The sequence below is a fragment of the Homo sapiens genome, chromosome 3 (genome assembly GCF_000001405.40).
Source record: "Homo sapiens chromosome 3, GRCh38.p14 Primary Assembly".
NCBI lineage: Eukaryota > Metazoa > Chordata > Mammalia > Primates > Hominidae > Homo > Homo sapiens.
The window spans coordinates 152,559,084-152,574,406 of NC_000003.12; positions in this window are offsets into that span (position 1 = coordinate 152,559,084).

The following is a 15,323-nucleotide window of genomic DNA, read 5'->3' on the forward strand; positions in this document are numbered from 1 at the left end:
TGCTGTGAACTTTGTTATAGAGGAAGGGATTCTATTCCATGGAGAATCTAAACAGATAGTTGCCATACATTTTTTAGCAGTTTTATTGAGGTCTAATTATTATTTTTTTTTTTTTTGAGACAGAGTGTCGCTCTGTCACCCAGGCTGGAGTGCAGTGGCATGATCTTGGCTCACCACAAGCTCCACCTCCTGGTGAGAGGTGACAACATGCTGGCGGCCCTAGCTCGCTCTCAGCGCCTCCTCGGCCTTGGCGTCCACTCTGGCCATGCTCGGGGAGCCCTTCAGTCTGCCACTGCACTGTGGGGTGGCCAAGGCCGGAGCTGACTCCCTCAGCTTGCGTGGAGGTGTGGAGGGAGAGGTGCGGGCGGGAACTGGGGCTGCGCGTGGCAATTGCGGGCCAGCACAAGTTCCAGGTGGGTGTGGGCTCGGCGGGCCCACACTGGGAGCAGCCAGCCAGCACCACCGGCCCTGGATAGTGAGGGGCTTAGCATCTGGGCCAGCAGCTGCGGAGGGTGTGCCGGGTCCCCCAGCAGCACTGGCCTGCTGGCACTGTGCTTGAATTCTCACCGGGCCTCAGCTGCCTCCCCGCAGGGCAGGGCTCGGGACCTGCAGCCCGCCATGCCCGAGCCTCCCCTCCCTCCCCTCCCTCCCCTCCACCACGCCCGACTCCCCCACTCCTCGCCCCTCCTCCCCCTTAGACTTTTGTGTCTAGCTCAGGGATTGTAAACGTACCAATCAGCACCCTGTCAAAACAGACCAATCAGCTCTCTGTAAAATGGACCAATCAGCAGGATGTGGGTGGGGCCAGATAAGGGAATAAAAGCAGGCTGCCTGAGCCAGCAGTGGCAACCCGCTCTGGGTCCCCTTCCACACTGTGGAAGCATTGTTCTTTCACTCTTTGCAATAAATCTTGCTGCTGCTCACTCTTTGGGTCTGCACTGCCATTATGAGCGTAACACTCACTGCAAAGGTCTGCAGCTTCACTCCTGAGGCCAGCGAGACCATGAACCCACCGGGAGGAAAGAACAACTCTGGACAGGAGGAACGAACAACTCCAGACGCACCACCTTAATATCTGTAGCACTCACCGTGAAGGTCTGCAGCTTCACTCCTGAAGCCAGAGAGACCACAAACCCACCAGAAGGAAGAAACTCTGAACATGTCCAAACATCAGAAGGAACAAACTCCGGACATATCACCTTTAAGAACTGTAACACTCACCGCGAGGGTCCGCGACTTCATTCTTGAAGTCGGTGAGACCAAGAACCCCAATTCTGGCCATATTTTGGTGACCATGAAGGGACTATCGCCTATCGCCAAGCGGTGAGATCATTGCCTATTGCTGAGCAGTGAGACTGTCGCCTATCACCAAGCAGTGAGTACCATCAGACCCCTTTCACTTGCTATTCTGTCCTATTTTTCCTTAGAATTTGGGGGCTAAATACCAGGCACCTGTCGGCCAGTTAAAAGTGACTAGCATGGCCGCCGGACTAAAGACACGGGTGTCAGGCTTTCTGGGAAAGGGCTCTCTAACAACCCCCAACTCTTCAGAGTTGGGAGTGTTGCTTTGCCTAGAACCAGCTTCCGCTTTTCCTGTACTTCTGGGCTGAGCCGAGGGTCGACAGCAAGGAAAGCCATGCGGCTCCAGGGTCCCGACAACAAGTTGGTTGACCCTGCAGCCATTAGCGGAACTCTCAAAGGCATGTTGCCCAAGTCCTAATGCTTGCCAGACAAACTTCATCTCACCTCTTTTCTCCAAGGTTAGTCCCGCTTCTAAAAATCACTACCTGTCTCTGGTGCTTTTCTAGTTTCTAAGAATGACTTCTAGTATAAACTCTGTTACCTTCTTTAGGCACCCGGGCTCACCAATCAGAAAGACATAATTTTTGCCCAAAGCCCCATCGTAGGGGGGACTACCTGGAATTTTAGGATCCCTCCTCAGACTAACAGGCCTAACAAAAGCTATTCCTGAAGCTAGGATATGGGGAGCTTCAGAAATTGTATCCTTCCTATTCATATAAGTGAGGACAAAGGGTGTCACTCTTCCAACTCTGGAGATCCCTTCCCTCTCTCAAGATATGGCCCTCCACTTCATTTTTGGGGCATAACATCTTTATAGGACAGGGGTAAAGTCCCAGTACTAACAGGTGAATGCTTAGGACTATTAACAGATTTTTGAGAATGCATCAGTAAGGGCCACTAAATCCGATTTTTCTCGGTCCTCCTTGTGGTCTAGGAGGACAGGAAAGGGTGCAGGTTTTTGAGAATGCGTCGGTAAGGGCCACTAAATCTGACCTTCCTCGGCCCTCCATGTAGTCTGGGAGGAAAGCTAGAGTTTCTGCTGCTGTGTCGGTGAGTGCAACTATTCCGATCAGCAGGGTCCAGGGACTGTTGCGGGTTCTTGGGCAGGGGGAGAGACAAAACAAACCAAAACCACAGGCAGTTTTGTATTTGATGGGAAAAACTCAGGCATCAACAGGGTCACCCTTGAAATGCATCATAAACCACTGGGACCAATTTGACCCACAAACCCTGAAAAAGAGGCAGCTCATTTTTTTCTGCACTACAGCTTGGCTCCAATATTTTCTCTCTGATGGGGAAAAATGGCCACCTGAGGGAAGTACAAATTATAATACTCTCCTACAGCTTGACCTTTTCTGTAAGAGAGGAGGCAAATGGAAGGAAATACCTTATGTCCAAGCTTTCTTTTCACTGAGGGAGAATAAACAACTATGCAACGCTTACAATTTACATCCCACAGGAAGACCTCTCAGCTTACCCCCATATATCCTAGCCTCCCTATAGCTCCCCTTCCTATTAATGATAATCCTCCTCTAATCTCCCCTGCCCAGAAGGAAATAAGCAAAGAAATCTCCAAAGGACCACAAAACCCCCCGGGCTATCAGTTATGTCCCCTTCAAGCTATAGGGGGAGGGGAATTTGGACCAACCCAGGTACATGTCCCCTTCTCCCTCTCTGATTTAAGGCAGATCAAGGCACACCTGGGGAAGTTTTCAGATGATCCTGATAGGTACATAGATGTCCTACAGGGTCTAGGGCAAACCTTCGACCTCACTTGGAGAGATGTCATGCTACTGTTAGATCAAACCCTGGCCTTTAATGAAAAGAATGTGGCTTTAGCTGCAGCCCAAGAGTTTGGAAATACCTGGTATCTTAGTCAAGTAAATGATAGAATGACAGCTGAAGAAAGGGACAAATTCCCTAGTGGTCAGCAAGCCATCCCCAGTATGGATCCCCACTGGGACTTTGACTCAGATCATGGGGACTGGAGTCATAAACATCTATTGACCTGTGTTCTAGAAGGACTAAGGAGAATTAGAAAAAAAGCCCATGAATTATTCAATGATGTCCACCATAATTCAGGGAAAGGAAGAAAATCCTTCTGCCTTCCTCGAGCGGCTATGGGAGGTCTTAAGAAAATATACTCCACTGTCACCCGAATCACTCAAGGGTCAATTGATTCTAAAAGATAAGTTTATTACCCAATCAGCCACAGCTGCAGATATTAGGAGAAAGCTCCAAAAGCAAGCCCTGGGCCCTGAACAAAATCTAGAGGTATTGTTAAACCTGGCAACCTTGGTGTTCTATAATAGGGACCAAGAGGAACAGGCCCAAAAGAAAAAGCAAGATCAGAGAAAGGCCACAGCCTCAGTCATGGCCCTCAGACAAACAAACCTTGGTGGTTCAGAGAGGACAGAAAATGGAGCAGGCCAATCACCTGGTAGGGCTTGTTTTCAGTGTGGTTTACTAGGACACTTTAAAAAAGATCATCCAATGAGAGAAAAATTGCCCCCTCGTCCATGTCCACTATGCCGAGGCAATCACTGGAAGGTGTACTTCCCCAGAGGATGAAGGTTCCCTGGGTCAGAAGCCCCCAACCAGATGATCCAATAACAGGACTGAGGGTGCCCGGGGCAAGCGCCAGCTCATGTCATCACCCTCATTGAGCCCCGGGTACATTTAACCATTGAGGGCCAGGAAATTGACTTCCTCCTGGACACAGGTGTGGCCTTCTCAGTGTTAATCTCCTGTCCCGGACGACTGTCCTCAAGGTCCGTTACCATCCGAGGAATCCTGGGACAACCTGTAACCAGGTATTTCTCCCACCTCCACAGTTGTAATTGGGAGACTTTGCTCTTTTCACATGTCTTTCTTATTATGCCTGAAAGTCCAACACCCTTATTAGGGAGGGATATATTAGCCAAGGCTGGAGCTATTATCTACATGAATATGGGGAACAAGTTACCCATTTGTTGTCCCCTACTTGAGGAGGGAATCAACCCTGAAGTCTGGGCATTGGAAGGGCAATTTGGAAGGGCAAAAAAATGCCTGCCCAGTCCAAATCAGGTTAAAAGATCCCACCACTTTTCCATATCAAAGGCAATATCCCTTAAGTCCTGAAGCTCATAAAGGATTACAGAATATTGTTAAACATTTAAAAGCTCAAGGCTTAGTAAGGAAATGCAGCAGTTCCTGCAACACCCCAATTCTAGGAGTACAAAAACCGAATAGTCAGTGGAGACTAGCGCAAGATCTTAGACTCATCAATAAGACAGTAATTCCTTTATATCCAGTTGTACCCAACCCCTATACCCTGCTCTCTCAAATACCAGAGGAAGCAGAATGGTTCATGATTCTGCACCTCAAGGATGCCTTCTTCTGTATTCCCCTGCACTCTGACTCCCAGTTCCTCTTTGCTTTTGAGGATCCCACAGACCACACGTCCCAACTTACATGGACGGTCTTGCCCCAAGGGTTTAGGGATAGCCCTCATCTGTTTGGTCAGGCACTGGCCCAAGATCTAGGCCACTTCTCAAGTCCAGGCACTCTGGTCCTTCAATATGTGGATGATTTACTTTTGGCTACCAGTTCTGAAGCCTCATGCCAGCAGGCTACTGTAGATCTCTTGAACTTTCTAGCTAATCAAGGGTATAAGGTGTCTAGGTCGAAGGCCCAGCTTAGCCTACAGCAGGTCAAATATCTAGGCCTAATCTTAGCCAGAGGGACCAGGGCCCTCAGCAAGGAATGAATACAGCCTATACTGGCTTATCCTCGCCCTAAAACAATAAAACAGTTGCGGGGGTTCATTGGAATTACTGGCTTTTGCCAACTATGGATCCCCGGATACAGTGAGATAGCCAGGCCCCTCTATACTCTAATCAAGGAAACCCAGAGGGCAAATACTCATCTAGTAGAATGGGAACCAGTGGCAGAAACAGCCTTCAAAACCTTAAAGCAGGCCCTAGTACAAGCTCCAGCTACAACACTCACCGGGAAGGTCCACAGCTTCACTCCTGAGGCCAGCGAGACCAGTCTTTTAGAAAAAGTATAATTTGGAATAATTTGTTCTTATTTAATTTATGGTGGCTTCATCGAGTGTCATTTCCTTTGCTAAATTAAATAATTTGCTCTAAAATTTTACCTAGAGTTGTTCTTAGACTCACCAGGTATATTTTGTGGCATATACTTTTTCTTCCTCTTTGAAAACTGGAACAAGATTAGTCTGGTTTTTGTTTGTTTGTTTGGTAGCTTAGCTGGGCTTCATGGTTATTGGCAGCTGCTCAACAATGTCATCTGCAAATTCCCTCAGCTACTGGGATGTAATGAATCTGAAACAGGAGACTTGAACTAATTACAAGTTGATTGGTGATATCTGAAGATGTCTTCATCTGTTTTGACCTTCATCTCTCTCTTACTAATGTTTCTTCCCAGATTTCTAGCATAAGAATGATTTTATTTGGCAGACAGTATGAAAAAAGTAAAGAATTGAACAGTTTATTATTCACTGTTATACGTTCTCATTATACTTTCCTACTTCCAAGCAAGCTCTTTCTTGTTCTTCATCTGAATGTACCTATTCATTTTATGTACTTTATATGATTTTTTTTTAAGACAGAGTCTTTTTCTGTCACCAGGCTGGAGTGCACTGGTGCAATCTTGGGTCACTGCAACCTCCATCTCCCAGGTTCAAGTCATTCCCCTGCCTCGGCCTGCCAAGTAGCTGGGACTACATGTGGGCGCCACCATGCCTGGCTAATTTTTTGTATTTTAGTAGAAACTAAAATTTTTTGTATTTTTAGTAGAGATGGGGTTTCACCATGTTGGCCAGGATGGTCTTGATCTGCTGAACTTGTGATCTGCCCACCTCGGCCTCCCAAAGTGCTGGGATTACAGGCATGAGCCACTGCACCCAGCCACTTTAATAGTTTTTTAAGCCTAAAATTTCTCTGGCTTATCTTACATGTCTGGTGCCTATATTAACCTAAGTTTCATGTTTGATTAGTGGCCGAGCTCATTATATAACTACTTGTGCACTCATTTCAGATTCAATATGGACCCTTTCCTTTTCTCTAGATTGGAAGCATTTCAGCCTATGTAAATGAAATTAAATTTTCATGTGGCTATCAACCTTCTCAAATCACCAATCCTTTTAGAGTCTCAGACTATGTTATTATACCTACTTATTTTCTGAACTTGTGAAATTTGCCATCCTGAAAATTAGATTTTACTTTGGACTTGACTGACACCTTATTAGTATATCCTGGAACTGCCTTTCTCAATGTCCAACCAAAATACTAAGGAAATCAGAAAAAAATAAAATGTGCTTACACACACACACACACACACACACACACACACACATAAAAACACACTAGAACTAACAGTCAATTGATTGATAAGTCTATTGAAAAGCAAATTCACTGACTACAATGTTGAGTGAGTTTATAGAAACAAGAAAGTAGAATGAAAGGAATTTCTCTGTACCTGACCCCATTCAAAAATGCAGTGACTAGGCCAGGCACAGAGGCTCATGCCTGTAATCCTGGAACTTTGGGAGGCCGAGGCAGGTGAATCAATTTAGGTCATGAGTTCAAGACCAGCCTGGCCAACATGGTGAAACCCCATCTCTACTAAGAATACAAAAATAATTAGTCAGGCATGGTGGCATATGCCTGATACAAAGCCAAATATATCACAGAGAAAGAAAACAAATATCCTTCATGAACTTAGATACAAAGTTCTTTAATAACCTACTAAGTCAATTCAACAACATATAAAACTTATAAAAAAATTATATATACCATGACCCAGTTGGATTTATTTCAGAAATGCAAGATTGTCTTTATATTTGAAAATCAGTTAGTGTAGTATATACATCATAATAATAGAATGAAGGACAAAAATACATCACCTCAAAGATGCAGAAAAAGCATTTGATAAAACCCAACATTTATAATAAAAATTCTCAGCAAACTAGAAGAAACTTCATTCTGATAAAGGGCATCTACCAACAATTTAACAAAAGTACAATAATTGTACATTGCATTTTATAAACCATTCTTGAAATAAATTAAAAATTTAAAATAGACTGCCTGTGATCATGGATTGGAGAACTCAATATTGTTAAGATGACAATTTTCCTCAAATTAATCTGTAGATTTAACACAATCTTTATCAAAATCCCAGCAGGCTTTTGTGTAGAAATTGACAGGTTTCTCCTAAAATTTGTAAAGAAATGCAAAAGATCTAGAATAAACAAAATAATTTTGAAAAAGGAAGAACAAATTTAGAAAATTTTTACTACTCAATTTCAAAACATTTTGTAATACTATAATAATGGATACAGTGTGGTATTTGTGTAAAGATAGGCATACAGATAAATGGAACAGAATTAAGGGTTTGTAATAATCACTTATGATTTTTGACAAAGGTATTAAAACAATATAAGAGTGAAAAGATAGTCTTTTCAACAGGTGGTACTGGGACAAGTGGATATTCATATTTTAATAAGTAAATTTAGATCATTACCTCACACCACACACAAAATTTAGCTCAAAATGGACCACAGACATAATGTACCAGCTAAAACTATAAAACTTCTAGAATAAAAGGAGAAAGTTCTCGTGTTCTTGGTGTGGGCAAAGAGTTCTTAGACATAACCATAACAGCTAGGGCCATAAAAAAAGCATGATAAATTTAACCTCATTAAAATTAAAAACTTTTGTACTTCAAAAGACACTATTAATAAAAAGACAAGTCGCAAACTGGACAAGAAATTGCATATTATATGTCTAGTAAAGGTCTTCTATCCAGAATAGAAAAAAAAAAAAACTCTTACAACTCGATCACAAAAACCAAAATAACCCAATTAAAAAGAGACAGAAAACACTCACAGAGAAAAAAAAGTAACCTGATGAAAAAATAGGCAAAGGACATGATTACACATTTTTCCAGAGAAGATATTCAAATGGCTAATAAGCACATGAAAAGATGCTTGACATCATTAACCAACAGGAAAGTTGAAATTAAAAGCACAATATGATATCAGTGCACATCCCCTAGAATCTCTCTTGAGAAGATTATAGTCTGGTTGGAAAAGACAGACACATAAATACTATCTGTTACAGTTACTACCAGGGAAATCTAAATAGGGTTTAGTTAGACATAAAAAGGCCATGGATGAAAAACTGTAGCAATAGACAGGCTGGATACCCCTCACTAGACTATGATGTTTCTATGATGTTTTGACTCCCAGCTTTTCAAAGTCTCTTCCCCTAACAATGGCCCTGTTAATAATTTGCAAAGGACCTCACTTCACGTTTCTTTATTGCCTTTGAATAAAGTTTCTTCAAACTTTTATCTCTTGGGGGTCTACTTTAGATCTTTTTATTGCTTTGAATCCATCCATCCATCCATTCACTTATTGATTCATTCAATCATTCATTTAGTCTTATAATCAGTAAATGTTTATTGAGCATCTTTTATCACCAGCACTGTTCTAGGCACTTGGAATTCAAAAGTGTGAAAAAAAAAATAGTGAAACATGATTGCCCTAATAGTGCTTAACTTATCAGTACAAGAAGGTTTGAATTCTTCTTCTATGGGAAGAAGTGCACATGGTTTTTCTTGCATTTGTGCCCATCATTATTTCTCTTTCACCTATTCTTTGTTACACTCTAAAATTTATGTCTGTTAACCTTGATGTTAAATTCATCATGCCAATACTTCATAATATTTGATTATTTAGTTTAGTTTTCCTCATTTTCTCCACCAAATCTATGAAATTTTTCCCAGATGGCTGAAGTGTGTCTCTCAAACTCCAAATTCCCTGTTATCACCTTTTTCATAAATAAGGAATCAAAGCTTGCACTGAGCACTAACCAGAGTTTGTCATCTCGGCAGGAAGACAAATATAGCTGCTTCACTGCAGGTGACAGGGACAAGACTCCTGAATCCACGCCTAATGTTGCTGCTTAAAGACTCTCCTTTCTATTGACCTTGGCACTCTTTGGCCCTATTCTTGACATCTCTCACTTCTCTGAGTGAGCTTATGGGGGCTCAGTCTGATTAAATCAACCCACAGGCATCTGTAATTACCAGTCGTTACCACCACTGGATAATGTAACCCAGCAACTGTCAGAATGCTTAAAATGTTTAAAATAGAAGAAATGAAGACACAAAAATTATCCTGTACCATTTATTGTATTATTTCACAACAGATCTGATTTTTAAAAATTTTAGAAGTTGGTTCTCTTTTTGAGGTTAATAAATTTCATTAATTTATCAAAGGAAAGTTTAAGTAACTGTAGGAAAACATAATAAATAATTGTTCTTATTTTAGTATGTATATTATGGCATTTTCTGCTTTTGTCTCTATTTTTATACATGAATATTAACCTGTACCTGAAGGTCTTAGAAGTAGATGAAGGACTGGGCACAGTCGCTCACACCTGTAATCCCATCACTTTGGGAGGCCAAAGTGAGAGGATCCCTTGAGCCTGGGAGTTTGAGACCAGCCTGGCAACATAGGGAGACCTCATCTCTATTTAAAAGAAAAAAATTACCTAGATCTGTGGCACGTGCCTGTGGTCCCAGCTACTCAGGAGACTGAAGCGAGATAATTGCTTGAGCCTGGGAGGTCGAGGCTGCAGTGAGCTATAATTGTTCCACTTCGGAGAGGAGGACAAGAACAGAGCCTGAAGAAGTGAAATAAATATGGGTGTGGCTACATGAAAAAAAAAAAATTGTTCCACTTCACTCCAGCCTGGGTGAAAGAACAAGACCCTGTCTCAAAAAAGAAAAGAAAAGAAAATAGATGAAGGGACAAATATTTACTAACTCCCTATATTAATTAATGATAGGATGTAACTCTATCCTCATAATGATACTAAAATGTAGATATTATTGTTCATGTTCTTTGGAAGAAACAATGCAAGCTCAAATGTGATCATAACTTTATTCAAGATTATAGAATTATTAAGCAGGGAAGGAAGGCTTCATTCTCATATCTCTTTGACAGCAACAAACCTCCATCATAGTCCCATTGTGCCATCCCATATTTAAGCTTAAGAAGTAATGCTTACAATTAGAAGAGCCCCTCAATTTACATTAAAAGTGAACTGAGCATAGTAAGTATGGCTACATTTTAGTTCTAAATTCATCCTTGGTAAAATCTCATCATTGGAAGAAGTTGAAGAAAGATGAGATTCATAAGTTTTGGGGTTCAGAAGCAATGAATAATTTTTCTCCTGCCTCATTACTCAATTTAACACATGTACAAATGCTTTTAGGTACAATGAAAATACGTCTTATAGACTGCCACTTTGGGAGAAACATTCACTTTACATTTTGAGTGAGAGAACTAGATTTAAAATTCTCTTCACTACATTTTCAGAGACTCCTACAATTTTTAAAACTCTTCATTTCCTTAAGTCATTGTGTGTGCTATAATTTCAACAGTGTCTCCCTGGCTTTTGCCATCAGTGAAACAAACAGTCTTTCAAGAAACTGACCAACAAAACAAAAAATTACTGGTCATAATATTTTTGTTCATTTTTTTCCAACAAATATTTCATTTATGCTTATTGTTAGTTGCCTCCTTTAAATCTAGCTGAAAGGAGGGCAGATGATCTTGTTTATTTTGATGAAAATGCATCTGTAACTTAAAATATGACCATTAATGAATGGTCATATTTGGTTGGATTTTGGTCTTAGAATGCAAAGAAATACACTGGCCTTAATACTGTTGGAAAATGTCAAAATATACCTAAAAGCAAACAAGATGCCATTGCAGGCCTTCTCTACAGCCAGGTAAGGACAGGACTAAGCCTGCATATTGCCTCCAGGGAGCTTCCCTCCACACCTGCCCAAATAAAGCTGCAGAGCTTCAGTGTGAAAGTCTGAAACAAAGCTGAATCTTCAGCAGCACTGACTGTGGCCTGTGGGGACAGAAGGCCTAATCACTTCTAATCACTTCCCCCCACCCTCCCCCCCCACCCCCCCCATCTTCTTTTTTAGAGGCAGGGTCTTTCTACTTTGCCCTGCCTGGTCTCCATTTCTTGGTCCCAAAAGGATCCTCCCACCTCAGCTTTCTAAGTAGCTGAGACTACAGGCGCAGGCCATGGCTCCCAGCTTTCAGACCTTCTTTCAAAACATAAGTCAGATAACAAAACTTCTCACCTTATTAGAATTCAAACCCAAATCCCCCATGACTTTGCCTCCAGCTACATCTCAGACCTCATCTCCTACCCCTTTCCCACTTCTTACCAGCTCCCACCACTCACAAACACGCAAGGTATAATCCTGTCTAAATGACTTAGCAATTCTACATTCTGTCCCGGGAATTCTTTTCTTCAGCCATGGCCACTCAGATCACTGTTTAAGTTCCCTCAGTTCTCTATTAACATGTTACCTTTTTAGAGAGGTCTTTCTCAAGCATATAATATGAAATTAAGACTTTCTCTCTTCCCATTGTTTTGTTAAGTTCCCTTGTGTTATTTCTTATACCCTTTAATCACTACTTTGCACATGATGTATTGTTTATTGTCTCTTTGCCACTACCAGAATTAAAAGCTCCAGGAAGAGTGAATAAAATAGTCTTATTATTGCTTTCCATAGAATATCCCTGGCACATAGCAGGAACTCAGAAAGGACTGGTTAAATAAATTGTTAAATGAAACCAGCAAGATTTATTTTCTTTTTAACTTAAAACAACAAAAGTGATCAACAGAATGGCTTAATTGCTTTAATGACCAGGAAATGTAGGTGAATGATAGAGAGGTCAGTGGACTTGGCTAAGTCTTAAAATGAAACCCATGGTTTGGGTTGTCCCAAGATGAGAATGAACTCTAGAATCATTTTATGATCACTACATCAGTTTTTAATGTCACCCAATATGTTTCATTTACTTCTATTGGTCTCCTGTTTCCTCTTCTGAAAAGTTATAAGCTTTATAATCTTCAAGTTAAACTCATACCATCTCCTCCTTAAAAGGAAACAGAAGCAATACTAATGTGCTCTGATTAAGATTAGAAAACCCTATTTAGAAGATTATTTGTGTGTGTGTGTGTGCTGTTCTCTAATAGAGCTTCCACATAATGGCTTTTAACTTTTCAATATAGAAAATGCTTGATGAGATATAGCTAGAACAATCTGATCTGATACTTGGGGCTTTATAGCTCTCATACATTTTTGTTCAGAAAAAAAGGAATGATGAGCTAGCTGAGCATAATAATGTGAAAGAGAAAATGTGGTGATGGCATACTATTGTTCACTTAAAAATCTCTGAACATCATACTTCCTTTATTTTGTGCATGTATGAGGCCAAAAATATGCCTGCCATTATAATCAACTTCTTATCCCGATCTAGGATATTTTTATGAATAAGATAGCTATGTTTTGACTTGCTGTTTTATTTTCATTGTGCTGAACCTAGGGTTTTTTAATCTTCCTTTATAGAAACGAAAAAGTCTTGCAATGCTAGAACAAGCACATGATTTTAGAGGTTTCATTTTTAAAGGCCAATGTACTTATACATACACAATTAATTAGTTTTCTCAAAAAATATAATGTTCAATTTTGTCCCTTGTTCTTTAACATGTGATACATTATCAAAATACTGAGGTAAGGTTGCCAGGAGCTTAGCAAAGAAATGGCAATGTACATTCTTTTGTCCCCTAGAGTTAAGCTATTGTCACAGACATATCTATTAATTCCTACAGTTTAAACCGCATATATCTGTTCAATATGACCTCCTCAATTTGATTCACAAGAGTGTATTTTGAAGTATTATAATTGAATCTGTACAGTGACCACAAGGAGGGCAGGTAAGGGCAGAATTTTATTTTTGATTTCTCTAGAGAAGATGATAACAATGAAGTGAATTATAATTGAGTTCTACAAAACATGAAGACAGACAAATTTAGTTTTCAGATGTGTCTAAATACTTTATGCTTAGAGTTCAATACCACTTTAATATTTTATTTCTAAATAAGAAAATTACATTCTTTGAATTTTTGAAGATTGGGTGTGTTGGTAATGCCCTTGCCACTTCTGTCACCAAATCATTTTTTATTGCTTAATTTGTCACTACTGTAAGGAAATTACCTTTACAACCAAAGTATTTAAGTTACGACCTGAACACAGATTGGATATTCAGTGATCCTACTCAGGCACTACTGTGTTAATTGAATATTTTCCTTATTATTGCAAATCTTGGGGGTTTTTGTATACTTATATATTTATTAAGTGCTAAAGATTAGAAACTCAAACTTAGCTTCTGACTTCTTTTTTAATTAAGGAAAAATATATGTCTCTAGTTATAAGTGTTCTTATTATTGTAATTTTTAAAAAATAATCAAAATTTTGGCAGAAATTAAGTGCATCTGAAATAGCAATAGAATGAAAAAGATTGTTAAGAATAGACATTCAATGATCCTATGAAATCTAGCTACCTTTATCACCCAACCCTTTTAAATAACTTTTCTCTTGGCAAAACAAGAGAAAGTTATTTTATTTCATTCTCAAGTTTTTGTAGAAATACATTTCTTCTGTAGAAGAAAACAATATATAGATCATGCAATTGTGTCCTAAGTCATTTAATAAACAGTTCTTCACTTGCCCAGCTTAATAATCAGTCCTAATGCCCAGCTTAATTTGGCCTTTCCAGTTGTTTCATTAATTTTACTGCAAAATATTTTCTAGTAATAGTAATAGATTAAATTCAACGCATATTTATTGTATAGCACACATGGCCAATAAATCCTGAAAAAGCACCTTGCCTGTAAGGTAAGTGCTATTATATTTACATTTTACAGAGAAGAAAACTAAACTTAAAAGTCAAAAACATAAAGCCAGTAAGTGGGTAAGCAGAACTTTAATGCAAATATGTTGCTCTAAGCCCATGCTTATGACATTTGTTGTTTATTACTGAGAGAAGGGAAGTTACATGTACTGATTCCTTAATTCTTATCACATACTATGCAGGGTGAATTGCATATGTTACTTATTCCTTACCATGGCAATATAAATAATAAATATTTAATAACCCTATTGTACAGATGGGCAGTATTTGTTCCAGAAATCTGAGTTCTCTCATAACTAGACATAAAATCTTAAGAAACATATGTATGCCTCCCAAGAACCAACTTTTTAGATAAATGAGCATCTGGCTAGTGACTCTCTAAGCAATTATGTACTCTCCACCTACGAAACTTAAAATATCTTATCTGAGGGATTCACCAGCAGGTACTGCCATTACACATACCACTCCACCATGATCCAGCATCAATGTCTTGTGCAGACACTCCCTCCTGGGAGGAAAATATAATTGATGGTTATGCCTTTTCCCTTACCCCACTGTCAGACTCTGATTTCAGTAAAGCCCTACCAAGGCCCTCCCTTTCCACCTGTAGGCTCTGGAGAATACATACATAGATCCTTCCTCTAAGAACGTTGCAGATGCTTGAGCAACATTATTTCCAAGTTAACTTGCAGCTTTATTTCTGTGATTTTGTGCTGATTCCCCATAGAAGTACAGTTGCTTTAACTAAGTTTATATTTTAAGTGGATGTTGGCCATGACATCTCACTAAAGAAGTCCTCTTGTATACGGACCCCAGCTGAAGAAACAAAATGAAAATAAATGGGTGAAAGAATTCTCAAAGCTCAACATCCCTAAAGGCAAATTGACAGAAATGTCTGTTCAAAGAAGACAAAATCATGAGATTTATGCTCAATAGCGTTTTTCTTTTTCTACTTCTGTGGGGGCAGAAGATGTGATTTAGCAGATCTAGGAACTGGGAACTAAAAGTAAATAGTTCATCATTCTCCTCTCAGAGAAAGTCTTCTTATGGTACAGAGGAAAGATGAGATGAGGAGAAAAAGCCAAGAGAAACAGGCAAGATTGATCTTAATGCCTAGCTGTGCAGAATTTTAAGAATATTTCTGGGCATATTGTATATAAAGGAGAGGACATAAGTGGAAAGAAAAAAGCTGAAAATGGAGTGAAAGGTCAAAAAAAAA